This window comes from Homo sapiens, chromosome 12 (assembly GCF_000001405.40).
Source record: "Homo sapiens chromosome 12, GRCh38.p14 Primary Assembly".
NCBI classification, from domain to species: domain Eukaryota; kingdom Metazoa; phylum Chordata; class Mammalia; order Primates; family Hominidae; genus Homo; species Homo sapiens.
In genome coordinates this window covers 30,735,579-30,753,263 of record NC_000012.12, presented here as the reverse complement: position 1 = coordinate 30,753,263, position 17,685 = coordinate 30,735,579, and the positions used below count along the sequence as shown (strand labels likewise).

Below are 17,685 nucleotides of genomic sequence, written 5' to 3'. Positions count from 1 at the left end.
TGTTCTCTACTAAAAATTTAACTAACCTTAGGTTTAGCTGCTTTAAACAAGCAGGTTACGTGTTGGAAATATTAAACATTTTCTGTTTCATTTGTCAAAACAACGGAATAAAAATATTCTTCATAGTTACATTATGCATGCTGCTGTTGAAATACTTTAAGAGCTAGCTATTTTAGGTGAGATTAATTCCTTATGTAGTATTAATGTTTCTTTTCATAGATGTGTTAATAGCTGATTTTTTAGCTTGTTTTCCTTGTGACTTTCTGCAGCAGTTGATATTGCAGTATAACTGCTGCAGTCGTTGGAAGGTTTAACCGTAGTAGAACTAGAAAATGTTTTACCACTTACTTTTGTGGTGTTAGGTGAAGATTTAAGATTGCTAGGTGAAAGCGTGGTAGTCAGCCTTGTAAAGAGACCCAGGAGTTAAGCCTAGCTACAGAAAATGCTGTTGTAAAGATCTAAATCCTTCTTCATTTCCTGAGTCATGTAGCCTGTGAAACAGACTGCACGTTGCTTTGCTGTATTACGTTTCTCTTCTGCTTTTGGACAGGTGAGGTTGAGTGACTATCTGGACCTATGTGTTGTTAAGTACTTTTGTGCCAAGACCTAGTTAGACCTTAAAGTTGCTTTTAATGGAGGAGTGTGAAGAGACTCTTTAGAGTCTGGTTGACTCTTTTTTTTTTTTTTTTTTAACCTAAGAAAGTAAAGAAGGGCAAGTTGCTAGTAGCTTCTCTGTAGCTCTCACCATTTATCTTTTTAACGTATGCAGTTGATCACAAGTGTGGTAAGGTGAGTGTGCCAGGTCAGCACAAATTCCCCATCACTGTGATAAATGATCAAAGCAGGATCTATTGACGGAGCCTCCCTCAGGTGGAGGAACTACATATATGTATGCTTATGCTCTCTAGCTTACCTATAGTACCTCTTTAATTTTGAATACCAGATAGTACGAGTACTTTTGTTTCAACCTTCTGGGAAAGAATTTTTCCACTAAAGCCAATACAGGAGGAACCTAAAGAATGCTTTTAGAGTACCATAGTGGGTCCGGGTGCAGTGGCTCACACCTGTAATCCCTGCGCTTTGGGAGGACAAGGCAGGTAGATCACCTGAGGTCAGGAGTTTGAGACTAGCCTGGCCAACATGATGAAACCCCGTCTCTACTAAAAATACAAAAAGAATTAGCCAGGCGTGGTGGGGGGTGCCTGTAATCCCACCTACTCAGGAGGCTGAGGCAGGAGAATCGCTTGAACCCAGGAGGTGGAGGTTGCAGTGTGCCGAGATCGCGACACTGCACTCCAGCCTGGGCAACGGAGTGAAATTCTGTCTCAAAAAAAAAAAAAAAAAAAAAAAAAAATACCATAGTGGGTTTATGTCATTATTATGGGGCCAACAAATGCAATTTATTTTTCATAATTTCCTTAAGTATCAAATATAATATGAAAAATAACTTCAAGATGAGCCTACTCTATGATAATGATAGAAAAGAATTCTTGGTGTTTCTGTACTTCCAATAGGAGTTTCTTTTTAGGAAAATGCCACATAATTCAACAGGTAACTGAACTAATAGTTTAAGCATGAGATTAGAGTAGGACTTCGTAACCTCTACACCACTGACATTTTGTACAGGATAATTCTTCGTTGTAAAGGGCTGTCCTGTGCATTTTAAGATGTTTGGCAGCATCCCTGGCCTCTAACCACAAGATACCGGTAGCACTCTTCACCTCCCTTCCCCCTCCCAAGTTGTGATAACCAAAAATATCCCTAGATATTGCCAGGTATCTTTGGGGGACAAAATTGTTCCCTGTTGAGAAGCTACTGTGTTGGGGACACATGATTTAGTAGGTAAGTCCCCATGGGTTAAGTAGTCTAGTTATTAATAGAGTCATTAAGAGAAAATAGTTTTATTACTGCTTAGGTTTTGTAATTCCAGACTCATGTGATTCTGTGTATTTTTTCTCCCCTGACTGGAACTCATCTACAGTTGCTGCATGCCGTATAGTAAAATGATAGTCTTGCAGATTGATAGCTTACTTCAAGGACTTTGTTTCCTAGAGACAAGATCTGGCATTTACTTTATTTGCTTCTGAATTTTATGTCAGACTATGGTAGATACAAGTTTCTCTTTTGTAGCTCAAACTGGAGGATTATAAGGATCGCCTGAAAAGTGGAGAGCATCTTAATCCAGACCAGTTGGTAAGTGGCTTATGATCTTTTAGTAAGACTTGCTGGTTTTCTTTTCTTAATAAAACTACATGGATTTAGTGCGATCAGTCTTTATAGCACACACACACACAGTTAAAATCCATAGTTTGTTCAAAACTGTTTCAGAAGACTTTGTTGTTTGTGCCTGTTAGATCTCAGATATGACTTTTTGTTCTGTTGACTAGAAGATGGTACGCATGGGGGTGTAGATTGTTAACAGGAGTGAAAGTGTAGACTGTCACTACGAGTTAACATACAGATTTAAGTTAAACTTATGTGCCAGAGTGGACTGAAGGAGAAGAGAAGGCATACTCTACCTTTCAGCTCTTCACTGGTATATTCTAAACCTGACATCTTTCTGCTCCAGAATGTGAAAGAATATTTACTGTAGCTTACCTTAGTTTTCTCTAGCTGCCTCACCTTAATTCCTTTCATGGTCTCTTCCTACTTTTCTATCCTGGGTTTTCGTGTGCCCTCTCAGGAGGCATATTATCTGATAGATATCTGGCCTTTAAAAAAAAAAAAAGCTTACTATAAACATTAAGCTACTTGCATTTTTTTCCATCGGTTAACTTCTCAATGATATACCTGGTAATTGCAAATTTTATGTAATTTGTGAAGGAGAGTTTTTGCAGCGCGGAAAGAAAACAGTGCTTCGTGGATGTTTGCCATTTTGACTTGATCATGTCTCCTGGCTAAGAAGGGACACATTTATTTGAAAATTATTTCCTCTTGTTTGTGGGTCTTTTGTCTTTATGTTTTTCAACTGAAATCTTTCGCTATACATCATAGATACTGACATTCAAGGACTTTTCCCATTCCATAGTGACTCCTCTTCACTGACCCAGAATTTTTGTGATGTAGTAAGTTATAATTTTGCTGAGACACATATTTGAATTGTGTGAGCTCTGCAAATGGTGCGCTCACTTAGCTGGGGAGAGGGCTTAGCTGGACATGCAGCATTTCAGCATAGCTTTGTTTTAAAATCACGGTGTGTTCAATAACTCTTAAAGTGATAAAACTTTTTTGTGTGTAAATATTCTTGAATGAAGTGTCCTGTTAGAGTTGTGTTCCTTATTTTTAAGAAACATCGGGGAGAGGGGGTTGGAGATTGATTGTTCCCATGGTAGCTCTCTAAGAAATGTTAAAGACATGCTATATTTCATTGCTCCAGCCAGGCAAACTTCATTCTCAGTATTTCATTACTGTCTTTATAGCCACATGTTGCTTCTATAATAAATGTATGAACTTTGATATCTGGAGTAATACTCTGACAGCTGCCCAATTTATATTGCCAACAGATCAGTCCTCTGAACTCAATATTTCTGTGTCCAGTTGCCTATCCGACACTTCATAATTTTTCCCTGTTCCCCAAAACCTGCTCCTCCTCTAATCTTAGCTATGTCAGTTGATGGCTTGATCAACTAGCAGGAGTTGCCAAAAATCTTGGAGAATTTATCTCCTTTCTCCTCATAGCTCACATCTAGCTCATCAGCAAGTCTGCTCACTTCTCCCTTTAAGATAAATGAGGAAACTGACCATTTCTGCCATCTTCATCTAGGCTATATAACCTTTCATCTGCGTTACTTATTATAGTAGTAATTACTTCTGCCTCACAGGTTTTTCTATTTCTGCCCTCTCCAAGTCTGTTCAACGTAGTAAACTCAGTGATCCTGTACTGATGCAAGTCAAGATGGTTATTCCTCTGCTCAGAAGTCCCCATTTGTTCCCCTCTGGTGGTAAAATGTCCTTAGTGTGTCTACAAAGCCCTACAGAATATCCTTCCCACTTCCTTTGACATTTTGACTCCATTTCTTGCTCTTCTTTCCCTCGCTAGCTCCATTCTAGCTACCCTAGCCTCCTTGCTGCTCCTCAGACATCCCAGGCACACTTCTGCAGGGTTTTTTGCACGTGATATTCCTACTGCTTGGGATGTTCTTTCTCCAGATGTTTCAGTGGCTCAATTCCCAACCTCCTTCAGCCTTTTATTTGAAGGTACCCACAGTGAGATCTGTTCTCACCTCACTATACCTCCACTTCCCCATTCACACTGCTTAGCTCCTTTCCTTGCTTAATTTTTCTTAATAGAAGTTAGCACTTCTCTGACAAGCTATGAAGTTTTATTTTGTCTGTTTCCTACCCTTACAATGTAAGTTCCATGAAAGTAAGGATTTTGTCTGTTCATTGCTGTATTCCTAGTGCGTAGAATAGAGTGTAGCATGTAGTAGGTATATAAAATATTTATTACATATAGATTTACTAAGTATAAAATGAATGTTAGGTCTTTAGATGTAACTAAGCACGTAGTTGGTGGTACTTTTGAGAAATCACACCTCATACATGCAATATATAAGGTAGAAAATTTAGAAAATGCAGATAAGTCAGAAGGAAAAAAAAATAGAATCTTCAGAGAATTGTTACCAGTATAGGCATACCTCAGAGATATTATGGGTTCTGTTTCAGACCACCATGATAAAGTGAAGATTGCAATAAAGCAAGTCACACAAATTTTTGGTTTCCCAGTGCATGTAAAAGTTACATTTGTCCTATACTGTAGTCTGTTAAGTGTGCAGTAGCACTGTGTCAAAAAGAAGGTACACACCTTGATTAAAAATTATTTTATTGCTAAAAAATGCTAATAGTCATCTGAGCCTTCAGTGAGTTGTAATCTTTTTGCTGGTTGAGGAGGGTGTTGCCTCAGTGTTGATTACTGCTGACAGATCAGGGTGGTGGTTGCTGAAGGTTGCAGCGGCTGTGGCAGTTTCTTAAGACAACAGTGAAATTAGCCACGTTGATGGACTCTCTTTCATGAAAGATGTCTCTGTAGTATGTGATGCTGTTAGATAGGATTTTACCCACAGTAGGACTTTTTTCAAAATTGGAGTCAGTCTTTGGAACCCTGCTGCTGCTTTATCAACTATGAGTCTATGTAAAATTCTAAAGGTTTTGTTGTCATTTCAACAATGTTCATAATATCTTTACCAGTAGAGTCTATCTCAAGAAATCACTTTCTTTGCTCATTCATAAGAAGCAACTCCTCATCTATTAAAAGTTTATCCTGAGATTGCAGCAGTTAGTCATATCTTCAGGCTCTACTTGTAGTTCTCTTGCTATTTTCACCACATCTGCAGTTACTTCCTCTGCTGAAGTTCTGAACCCCCTCAGAGTCATCCACGAGTGTTAGAGTCAGCTTTTCCCAAACTCCTGTTCATGTTGATATTTTGACATCCTCCCATGAATCACAAATGTTCTTAATGACATCTAGAATGTAGGGAATATTTTCCAGAAACTTTTCAATTTACTTTGCCCGGATCTATTAGACAAATCACTATCTATGGCAGCTCTAGCCTTATCTAAATGTGTTTCTTTTCTTTTTTTTTTTTTGAGACGGTGTTTGGCTCTTGTTGTCCAGGCTGGAGTACAATGGCACGATCTCGGCTCACCGCAACCTCCACCTCCCAGGTTCAAGCGATTCTCCTGCCTCAGCCTCCTGAGTAGCTAGGATCACAGGCATGTGCCAGCATGCCTGGCTAATTTTGTGTTTTTAGTGGAGATGGGGTTTCTCCGTGTTGGTCAGGCTGGTCTCGAACTCCCGACCACAGGTGATCTGCCCGCCTCGGCCTCCCAAAGTGCTGGGATTACAGGTGTGAGCCATCACGCCCGGCCAAATGTATTTCTTAAGAAGACGTGAAAGTCAAAATTACTCCTTGATCCATGGGCTGCAGAATGTATGTTATGTTATCAGGCATGAAAACATCATTGATTTGTGTATTTCCATCACAGCTCTTGGGTGACAAGGTGCCTTGTCAATTAGCATTAATATTTTGAAAGAAATCTTTTTTTTCTGAGCAATAGGTCTCAACAGTGGGCTTAAAATATTCAGTAAACAGTGCTGTAAGAAGGTGTGCTATCATCCAGGCTTTGTTATTTTGTTTATAAAACACAGAGTAGATTTAGCATGAGTCTTAAGGGTCCTAGGATTTTCAGAATTGTAAATGAGTATTGGCCTTAAAGTCATCAGCTGCATTAGACCCTAACAAGAGAGTCAGCATGTCTTTTGAAGCTTCGAAGCCAGGCATTGACTTCTCATCTCTAGTTATGGAAGTCCTAGATGGCACTTTCTTCCAATAGGAGACTCTTGCATCTACATTGAAAATCTGTTGTTTAGTGTAGCCAGCTCCATCAATTATCTTAGCTAGACTTTCTGGCTAACTTGATGCAGCTTCTACATTAGCACTTGTTGCTTCATCTTGTACTTTTATGTGATGGAGATGACTTCTTTCCTTAAACCTCATGAACCAGCTTCTGCTAGCTCCCAACTTTTCTTCTGCAGCTTCCTCAGTCTCTCAGCCTTCACAGAATAAAAGAGAGTTAGGGTCTTGTTCTAGACTAGGTTTTGACTTAAGGGAATACCACTCAAATCTTGTGCACGTCAGCAATAGCATTTGTTTTCTTATTATTCATGTGTTCACTGGAGTAGCACTTTCACCCCACACAAGCTCAACCTCTTCCACTATCACCATCTCTCATCAGAGAAATACATTTTTTACTTTCTATGAATCTACGTTGACACATCATCATCACCCAAAGTTTGTAGTTTAGAGTTTGCATTAGGGTTCGCTCTTGGTGCTGTACATTCTGTGGTTTTTGTCGGTGTGTGTTTGTTTTTAAGAGACAGGGTCTCTCTCTCACCAGGCTGGAGTGCAATAGCACAATATCATAGCTCACTGTAGCCTTGAACTCTTGGGCTCAAGTGATCCTCTTAGCCTCCTGAGTAGCTAGGATTACAGGCGTGAGTCACTGCACCCAGCTCTATGGGTTTTGTTGAATGCAAATGTATCCACCATTGTAATATCATACAGAATACTTTCACTGCCCTAAAAATTCTCTGTGCTCCATCTACTCATTCACCAATTCTTTTGTTGTTGTTTTTAATATCGTGGCAGTGTTTCCACTATACATGGTCTTTAAAGTTTGGTTGAATTATTGTGTGAGAAACTATCTGTGCCTGCTTCTCTTTGAGGTGGGACCTCTTTGAAAATATGCTCTATGTTTTTCTTTGGAGATTGATTTTTGTTTAGATTTCTTTTGGCATCAGTTTTTAAAAACTTCATTGAAAATCACCTATTTCATTCAGTTTTTAAAATTTATTTGCATAGATTAGGGCCAAGTAGTTTTTAATAAAATTTTAATACAGCTTGTTTCTGTTGTTACTTTATAATTTTGTGTGGTTTTCTTTCCTTAGTTTACTCTTAAATTATCTAGGGGCATATTCCACCCCCCCACCCAAAATCAGCTTTTAGACTTACTTTATTCCACTTTTTAAAAATTTTTCTGCTTTTTTGTTTTTGGTTATTTGCTTTTTCAAATTGTGAAAATTTTCTAAAATTTCTTGAAGACTGAATTTTCCTTCAAGCACTGGTTCAGTTGTATTTGATTTGATATTGTATTTTCAATATTATTTGTGATAAGTTTTATAATTTTAGTTTGATTTTCTTCTTTAACCCAACAGGTACTTATAATAATGTAAATAAAACTTGTAATGTTCTATATGGCTCTTGCAGCCTCTTTGAAGTAGTAACTCTTAAGGGATCTGTCAAGGCTAAGCTACATAAGGTTTATGTTAAATTGGTAGCATAGGTTTCTCTTTTCAAATAGTAAAAAGAATGTCTAATGAAGTTGTTTGTGGAGTCACTTTAACTTGTAATTTAATATAACTTTATAATTTAAATAACTTAAATTGTTACATTTATAACTTTAGTATGTTTGGTTCCGATCTGGATTTGAAATAAAGAGCTGAGATTCAAGTGAATTCTCAAGCAACAGGCAAAGGGAACTTGATGTCTTTGGTTCTACCAAAGTTTTTGTTGTTAAAGAATTAGAATGTGGTACCTGTTTTTGCTGCTGAACTGTGATCCCTTGTTACATTTAATACATCTGTAGTAAACTCAATAAGTAATGTAGAATCTTCCCTCTTTTGTAATTCCACTGCTATCGGCGTAGTCAAGGCAAGCCACCTAAACTTTACATACGCTTCCTAGTTGATATCCTTGTCTTGAGATCTTACCTTCAATTCACCAGTCCTCTTGTCCGTGGTGTCTTTTTCTTGAAACAGCTCTCAGTATATGATTTCTTTCAAAAGCTTTAAATTGTTCAGAATCTTGACCATATCTGATGCTCTCTAAGATCATCTGAACTATCTTTTATTCATTCAACAAGATATATTAAGTATCTACTCTAGGAGGTGCTGTACTTAATATTAGGGTTATAATACCTAGGGGACAAATGTGATCATTACCACATGGAGTCTATAATGTAATGGGGAAGAGAGTGGGGAATAAGCAAATACAGATATGATGGATGTTAAGAAGGTGAAGTATAGGATGATAAGGGATTGTAATGCAGGATCCATCCTAGTCTAGAGAGTTAAGGCCAGCTTCCTTAGGAAAGGAAGAACTTTAGTTAAGACCTAAAATATGAATGAGACTTAGCCAGTGAAAGGGGGGAGGGAGGAAGAAGAACAGAAGGCTAGGCAGATGCTTGCATGCGTAAAGGCTCTGAGAAGGAACAGATTTTTGGTTTTTTACAAAGAGCCTTTTTCAAAAACTGTAAAGAAGGTCACGTGGATGGGTGATGAAGCTGGAGGGGGTAGGTCTTTGTACACCATTTGAAAATTACTTTTTCCCAAAGGCATCAGAAATGGTACAGATATGTTTAAGCAGGGAACAACTACAGATTTTTAGTTAAAAAAATCACTTTGCAATGTGAAGTATGGTTTGGAGATAGTGTATGGATGTAAGGAAATTAGAAAAGAGTTGCCTGTAGTGTAGGTGAATGATTATGGGAGCCCTACTAAGGCAGTGGCAGAGGAACTTGAATCAAGTAGCTGGATTTGAGAGGTAAAATCAGCATGGCTTGGTGACTGGATGTAGGAGTAGAGGGTAGAGCTGAGAGTGGTTTCAGGTTTCTTGCTTGAACAGTGGATGGATGGCAAAACCATTTATTAAACGTGGGACCACTGGGGCAGAAGGAGGTTTTGGGAGGATGGAGTAGGATAAAGAGCTCAATTTTGTACTACTGATTTTAATGTGCCTGGGAGACATCAGTGTCTGGTACCAGCTGTTTAGGTAAACGAGACTGGAGCATGGAGAAGTTTAGCCGATAGAAATATCACCTGTATGACCGCTACTTGAAACCATTAGAGGAGATAAGACTGTCTTGGATAAAAGTATAGAAGGCAGAATAGAGAAGCCTAGGACAGAATCCTGAGGAATTCTGACATTTAATGTTTGGACAATAATGGCTAAAAATGCGGTGTGCTTATTAGGGTCAGGCATCATTCTGAGTGCTTTATACATATGCAGTCATTTAAATTGTACAGCATCTTTGTGAGGTAGGTTCTATTACTCCTATTTTACAGGTGCTAAAAGCAGGTGAGAGAGAAGCTAATGGAAAAATTGCTAGTAAATAAGCAGCTGGAGAAATGGGAGAAAAATGGAAGTTCAGTGTTAGTAAAAACAAGAAATGTCTGTAGAGCAGGAGTGTGCCTTTTTGTTGAAGGCTGCTGCTAAGTCAACCAAAATGAGAGCTATAAAAGATCCACAGCTTTAAGGGATGGCATCGACAATTGCTAACTTCAGCTAAAACAGTTCTGGTGGAATGGTAGAAACGGAATCCAGGTTGATGAGGTCTGAAGAACTGGAGACTGAAAACACATTTGAATTTGTGTAATGCTAGAGGGAAGTAGTTGTCACAGAAGAACTAATTTTTCTTGTTTAGATTGGGGATGACATGAGCTTGTAAAATGCTGATTTAAGCATCAATAGAGAGGGAGCAGCTCTTTGTTAGAAGACATCAAAGACGGAATCCTAAAGTAAAGTTTTGTATGAAGGCACAATTCCGTAGGATCCAGGGCACAGGTAGAAGCGGGGGCGGGGGGAGGGGGGATACCTTCTTCACTTAGTAAAGAAAGGAAAAATGAAAGGATAGGTCTACATTAGATGATGGAAAGTTGAGGTAGTTCCCAGCTGATGCTGCTTTTCTTGAATCAAAGTTAATACCATTTGGGAGTAGATATGGAGTATTTCTTTATAGTTTTACATCCCTCTGAGGACTGTGTATCCTGGTAATGTTATCTGCTCATTCTTGTTTCTGTAGCAGGAAGATCTCTGTACGTTTTTATTATAAAATATATGGCTGAAACAATATATTCCATATAAGTTAAAACACATAATAAAGCAAGCACCAGATCCCAACTCTCAACTCAAATAGTATGTTTCCAACAGTGTTGAGGCTCCTTTCTCATGTGGTACCTTCTCCTTCCTGTAACCATGACCCTGAAGTTTTCCCTTGCTTTTAAGACCATTTTTTTTTTTTGCTGCCCTGTTAGAGTTGTGTTTTTTTTGTACCTTATAGAAAGTGGTATCATGCTATATATTCTGCAGTTTGCTTTTTTCACTCATTATATTTAGTATTTTTATATCAATACAAGTGCCTGTATTTGGTTCTCTCTACTTAGTTTTAGTGTCTGAATAGATGGATGCTTGAAGTTTTGGGGTTTTTTTTTGTCACTGAAGAATTTTACTTTGAGGAATCTTTTAGGTGTTACTGAGAATCAGGAGTAAGATTTTTTTTCAGGGTACATATCTATCATTAGGCTGTAGGACATGCTCATGATTAACTTCATAGGTAAAAATTCTGAACTGTTTTCCAAAATTATTGTACCAATTTATACTAATACTGTTATTATTACATAGGAGTTCCTATTGTTCTGTACCTTTATAAAGACTTAATATCAGTCTGTTTTTTCCAACACTATTGAGGTATAATATACTTAACACAAAGTAAACCCATTCTAAGCGTACATTTGTTTATAGTAAATTTGTAGAGTTATCGAACTGGTAGCACAGTCTAATTTTAGAGTATTCCTATCATCCCCCCAAAGTTCTCTTTTGTGCTCTGATTTACTTTCTATCTTTAAAAATTTGTCTTTTCTGGACATTTCACATAAAATAGTCTTCTGCATCTGGCTTCTTTTACTTAGCATATTTTTGAGGTTTATCCATGTTATAGCATGTATCAGTATTTCATTGGTTTTTATTGCTGACTAGTATTCCATTGTGTGGGTGTACCACATTTTGTTTATCCACTTACCAGTTGCTGGATATTTGGATTGTTTTCATTTTGGGCCATTATGCTGCTGTATACATTTATATACAAGTCTTTATGTGGACATGTTTTCATTTCTTTTGGGTAGATACCTTGGAGTGTAATACTTTACTATTTTAATTACTGAGGCTTTATAATATGTATTTATCCAGTTGCACAGGTTCTCCACCTTGTTCTGTTTCAGATTGGTCCTTTCTCTTCCGTATAGATTTGAGTTAAAGTCCCATGAAATGCCCCCCTCTTTTCTGTCAATGTTGTTTATCTGGGAAATCTTTAAAAAAAAGTTTTGCTCCTTTAAATTTCCTGTAGGACATTGCATATTGTTTGTTATAATATTTATTTTTGTCTGTTACAGGTAATTATTCTAAATCTTTCCACTGTATTATAAATGTCTTGAAGTTGCTTGTTCATCTCTCTGATACTCACCGTGCTATTTGTGTAATATGTTTGAGTAGTGAATGAATATTAACAGAGAAATCCTATTGGCTCAGTGCTATTAAAACCAACAGGCCTTTCTGATCTTAGACTTTATAGGGGTAAAATTAGGACTCATATTTCTAATATAAAAATTGAATTTCTGGCATTAGAATTGAATTTTTAAATGCAACTTAATAAAACTGGTATTAATACTCTTTCTCCTTTTTCATTAGGCAAGTACTTTTTTTGTGTATGTATAGTAAATAGCCATAAGATCTTAAATCTCTTCTACTGTATTTAAGAAACATTATTTTCACATATTTATACTTAAACAGTCACAAAATTTATGTTTTCTTATCCTATTTGGTAGGAAGCTGTAGAGAAATATGAAGAAGTGCTACATAATTTGGAATTTGCCAAGGAGCTTCAAAAAACCTTTTCTGGGTTGAGCCTAGATGTGAGTATGTTTTCTTTGCTTTTCCTGAAACCAGTTTTAACCACTGATCTTGGAGAAAATGTCAGTGTGTCAGTGTCTAGTAATGGTGTTTGGTTATTATTCTTCTAATTTCTGCTGATATTTTATCGTGATGGAAGGTTGAGGATAACTGTTGGAGAACTAGTTTTTTCAGATTTCTGTAGTCTCAAGGGAGAACACAAATGGCATCTGAGTATGAGACATTGTGAATAAAGCATTAGTTATCTAATGTATGTTATTTAATTACAGAATTATAGAAATCATTGACACAGGGAATCAAACTTTTGACAAGGTATATTTATTAAAGATATTTTAGAATATAGGCTTGTAAATTTATATAAGATAGGCTTCTTTCACATTATTTAACATATGAGACAACAGAGTTGGTAGTCTTCTTGAAAGCATGAAAATTATTGATGGGAAAATTAATGACTCATGTTAAATAGAGTTAAATCTGGCCTCACTACTTGTTAGGTTCTCTATGTTGGCAGTTCAAAATTTTATCTCTGACAAATTTAATCAGTAATATGAAGTCTTAAACACTTCTCAGTGAAGTATTCTTTACTTTTTCAAATCTCAGCACTAGAAGGTCCTTTAAAGGTCAAGTTCCAACAATTGTGGAAATTTTTAAATAAATTCATTCCTGGAGAGGAGAGCATGCCTCATAAGATAATCTCTTCTATTTTTTTGGATATTTTCATTAAAAAAATTTATATTTTTTTATTATGTTTTAGAGACAAGGTCTCGCTCTCTCACCCAGCCTAGAGTGCAGTGGTGTGATCATAATTCTCTGGAGGCTTATAATCCTGGGCTGAAGGGATCTTCCTGCCTTGGCCTCCCAAAATGCTGGGATTACAGGTGTGAGCAGTCGCCCTGGCCTATTTTTCTTTATAGTGAACTAAAATTCTCTTCTCCATTCCTCTGGAATAAAGAAAAATTCTTCTAGGCTGGAGACATTTACCATCCTAATTCTTGGCTAAGAAGGATTACAAATATGGTTAGAAGTATACTTTTATGATATTTAAAATTTTCTGTCTTCTGTCTTTACTCAGAGTTACCCAGTAACAATTTAGTTTTTCATTCAGGCCTATATTTTTCTAATATATGGTATTCTTTTCTTCTTTTTAGATTAAAAACGTGTAAAAAATGCCTACCTTGTGCCAGGCACTTATGCAGCTCCACTTGATTTTTACAATAGTCTGGGAAGTTGCTATAAATAGTCCAATTTTACAGATCAGGAATCTGAGACTCAGAGCAAAAGTAACTTATTCTTTTTTTTTTTTTTTTGAGACGGAGTCTTGCCCTGTCGCCCAGGCTGGAGTGCAGTGGCACGATTTCGGCTCACTGCAAGCTCCGCCTCCCGGGTTCACGCGATTCTTCTGCCTCAGCCTCCCAAGTAGCTGGGATTACATGCGCGACTTATTCTTTTTAAGAAAACTTTTATTTTAGGTTTAGGGGTATATTATATGTGCAGGTTTGTTATAAAGTTAAACTCATGTCATGGGGATTTGTTGTATAGATTATTTTGTCACCCAGTTACTAAGCCTTGTACCTAATAGTTATTTTTTCTAATCCTATCCCTCCTCTTACCTCCACCCTCAAGTGGCTCCAGTGTGTATTGTTCCCCTCTTATGTGTCCATGTGTTCTCATTGTTTAGCCCCCACTTATATGTGAGAACATGTGGTATTTGCTTTCTGTTTCTGTGTTAGCTTGCGAAGGATAATGGCCTGCAACTCCATCCATGTTCCTGCAAAGGACATGATCTTGTTCTTTTTTATGGCTGCATGGTATTCCATGATATATATGTACCACGTTTTCTTTATCTGGTCTATCATTGATGGGCATTTAGATTGATTCCATGTCTTTCCTCTTGTGAATAGTGCTGTAATGAACATATGCATGCCTGTGTCTTTATGGTAGAATGATTTATATTCCTTTGGATATATAACCAGTGATGGGATTGTTGGGTCAAATGGTGGTTCTGGTTTTAGCTCTTTGAGGAATTGCCACACTGCTTTCCACAATGGTTGACCTAATTTACACTCTCATCAACAGTGTGTAAGCATTCCCTTTTCTCTACAACCTTGACAGCATTTGTCAGTTTTTGATTTTTTAATAATAACCATTCTGACTGGTATGAGATGGCATCTCATTGTGGTTTTCATTTGCATTTTTCTAATGATCAGTGATGTTGAGCTTTTTATCATATGCTTTTTGGCCACATGTATGTCTTCTTTTGAAAAGTGTCTATTCATCATGTCCTTTGCCCATTTTTTAATGTTTATTTTTCTTGTAAATTTATTTAACTTCCTTATAGATACTGGATATTAGATCTTTGTCAGATGCATAGTTTGCAAAAGTTTTCTCCCATTCTGTAGGTTGTCTGTTTACTCTGTTGATGGTTTCTTTTGCTGCATAAAAGCCCTTAAGTTTAATTAGATCTAACTTGTCAGTTTTTGCTTTTGTTTTGATTACTTTTGGCATATTTGTTACAAAATCTTTGCCAGTTCCTATATTCAGAATGGTATTTCCTAGGTTATCTTACAGGGTTTTTATAGTTTTGGGTTTTACATTTAAGGAAAAGGAACTTATTCAAAGTCATATGGCCAGTAAGTGGTAGAGCCAAGATATGGCCCTAGGTACTTTTTCTCTATATCGTGAATATAGTGTCTTATCTGTTTTGTTTTTTTTTTTCTTTGCTGCTGTAGTCTAGAGGTAGCTCCCAACTCACCAAATTTTGTTAATATCCATGAAATTATTTTTACTTGCCTGTGTTTGAGATTTACTTTCATTTTAGGTGACATGATAAAGTACTTTGGAGGTTGCCTTACTGAATCAAGACCCTGAAAGGTGCTTGGCAGTACTTTTGAGGTTTTTTTAATTTTACCTGGTAATTTTTGGGCTCCTCTTTTAAGTTTTTCTTTTGTCAGACATGTTCTATGATAGCCAGTTTTGCAGTTTGTGGAACATTTTCTTTTTTCCCTTCAAAGTAAATTTGGAAGTCCTTCTTTTCGACCTTGTTACATTCTGCTTTGTCCTCATGAGCTCTGTCTCCTGGTAGGGATTCATCATTCTGAGTCTCGATTAAGAAAACCAATTTTATCGGCCAGGCGCGGTGGCTCACGTGTGTGATCCCAGCACTTTGGGAGGCCGAGGCGGGCGGATCATGAGGTCAGGAGATCCAGACCATCCTAGCTATGATGATGAAACCCCGTCTCTACTAAAAATACAAAAAATTAGCCGGGCGTGGTGGCGGGTGCCTGTAGTCCCAGCTACTCGGGAGGCTGAGACAGGAGAATGGCGTGAACCCGGGAGGCAGAGCTTGCAGTGGGCCGAGATCGTGCCACTGCACTCCAGCCTGGGCGACAGAGTGAGACTACGTCTCAAAAAAAAAAAAAAAAAGAAAACCAGTTTTATCATTCAGTACTACTGATTGAGAGTGGTTTCCTTTCCAAACTGGTCCTCAACTGGAAAAAGAGAACAATGTAACCCACCTTTCTAATTTTCATCTAAAGAAGGAGAAATTGGCTCTTGTCCATGACTTTTCATGACACCTGATTGTGATCTGGGAGACTTTCCTGATATTTGATTTTATTCAACAAAAATTTGAGGCCCTGATATTTGTCAGACTCTGTGCTGGGCGTTAGTGAATATTGGTGAACAGTAGATATAGTCCCTGTCATCATAGATGCAGATAAATAAAAAATAGCCAGGGATGGTGGCTTACGTCTGTAACCCTAGCCCTTTGGGAGGAGGATTGCTTGAGTTCAGGAGTTCAAGACCAGCCTGGACAACATAGAGAGACCTCATCTCTATTAAAAAAAAAAAATTAGCCAGGCATGGTGGCATGTACCTGTGGTTCCAGCTATTCAGGAGGCTGAGGTGGGAGGATCACTTGAGCTCAAGAGGTCAAAGCTGCAGTGAACCTTGACTGTGCCACTGCACCCCAGCCTGGATGGCATAATGATACTCTGTCTCAAAAACAAACAAAAAACCCAAAAATACTTTGATAGGGGAAGTTCAAGGTGGCATGAGCCCATATGACCACCCAGTCCTACCTTGGGAGACTGGCCAAAGATAAATCTGAGATAATCATGTGGTATAATTGTCTGAAGATGCCCTGTGAATCAGTTGCTTTTCCCTATACCATGAGAAACTCCAGTGTTTTGGAGAGCTAGGAGTGCCACCTCCGTCCTCTTTTCTTCTCTCAAGCAGGATCAGAGAATCCTGTAGTTTTGGTAAGTGTTATTGATGCAGTCTATACTGAGGTCTTGCAAAAAGCCTTACTGAGCCTTTCCCATCTGAGAAAATGTGCTTGCCCATGCAACCTTCAACCAGTCTATTTCTCATTCTGAAAATTTTATATCTTCACTTACTATCTTTCTGTCCCTAGCAGTAGCACAAATCATATTTATTAAGTTGCTTCCACATCCCCTAGGAAGGGATTAATTATGCCACAGTGAATCTTTTTCATGAGGTTTTCCCCCTAATTTTAATCTGTTAGGATTTACGAACATCTCTTTTATATAATTTAAAATATCGATGCTATATCAAAGTACTTTGACCCATCTATAGGAAAAATCTTAGTGGTTTTTTTTTTTTTGTATTTTAATCTTCATACCTTGCGGAATATCCAATATGATGGAAACGTTACAATCAAAAACTATGGAGGGAAAAGACCTTTTAGGTTTCTTAATGGAAAGAGATAGTAGTTTTTAGTTAAATGCAAGTCCTTTCTGGGACCCATGAATATTATGTCAGACTTTAAGGTATTATAGTTCTAAGCTTTAGAGCAGATCTAGGGCTGCTCAATCTATGTACACAAATTGTTGGAGGGGAAACTGCTTTTTTTTTTTTTTTGGGACAGGATCTCACTCTGTTGCCCAGGCTGGAGTGTAGTGGCACTGTCACCACTCACTGTAGCCTTGACCTCCCGGGCTCAAGCAATCTGTCTACCACAGCTTCCTGAGTAGCTGGGACTACAGACACACACCACCATGCCCAGCTAATTTTTGTATTTTTTGTAGAGATGGGGTTTTGCCATGTTGCCCAGGCTGGTCTTGAATTCCTGGGGTCAAGTGATTCACCCTCCTCGACCTCCCAAAGGGCTGGGATTACAGGTGTGTATCATTGTGCCTGGCCTGAGGGAAAACTTAAGCTCCATTGATTTTCTGTATCTGTTTTGTCAGCTAAATATTGGAGGATGTAGCTCTGTCCAGACTGACAGGGCAAATTATTATTTAAAAAATTTTTAATTTTACTTCTGAAACAAAATAACATGTTTGCTGTGGCTGGTTTTTGGCATTACACTTGGAAGACATTTTATGTCTGTTAGCTTTTCAACCCCTTATGCTTTAGCCAGTCTTCTTTGGTTCATTAAAACTGACCATTTTAGTTTAAATATTTTTTCCCCTGGAATATG

At 37.7% G+C, this 17,685-nt stretch overlaps 1 protein-coding gene across 97 annotated transcripts in view; it reads left to right on the top strand.

The window, feature by feature from the left end:
* Positions 1-17,685, top strand: part of CAPRIN2 (caprin family member 2) — a 45,399-nt gene that overhangs the window by 1,688 nt on the left and 26,026 nt on the right. For all 97 annotated transcript variants that reach the window (NR_169636.1, NR_169643.1, NR_169638.1 and 94 more), the window contains 2 exons: positions 2,131-2,193; positions 12,158-12,244. Coding sequence is in view for 58 of the 97 variants with exons in the window: in NM_001385535.1 (NP_001372464.1) it covers positions 2,131-2,193; positions 12,158-12,244 (150 nt within the window). In the remaining 39 variants the exon portion in view is untranslated. The remainder of the gene's footprint in view (positions 1-2,130; positions 2,194-12,157; positions 12,245-17,685) is intronic.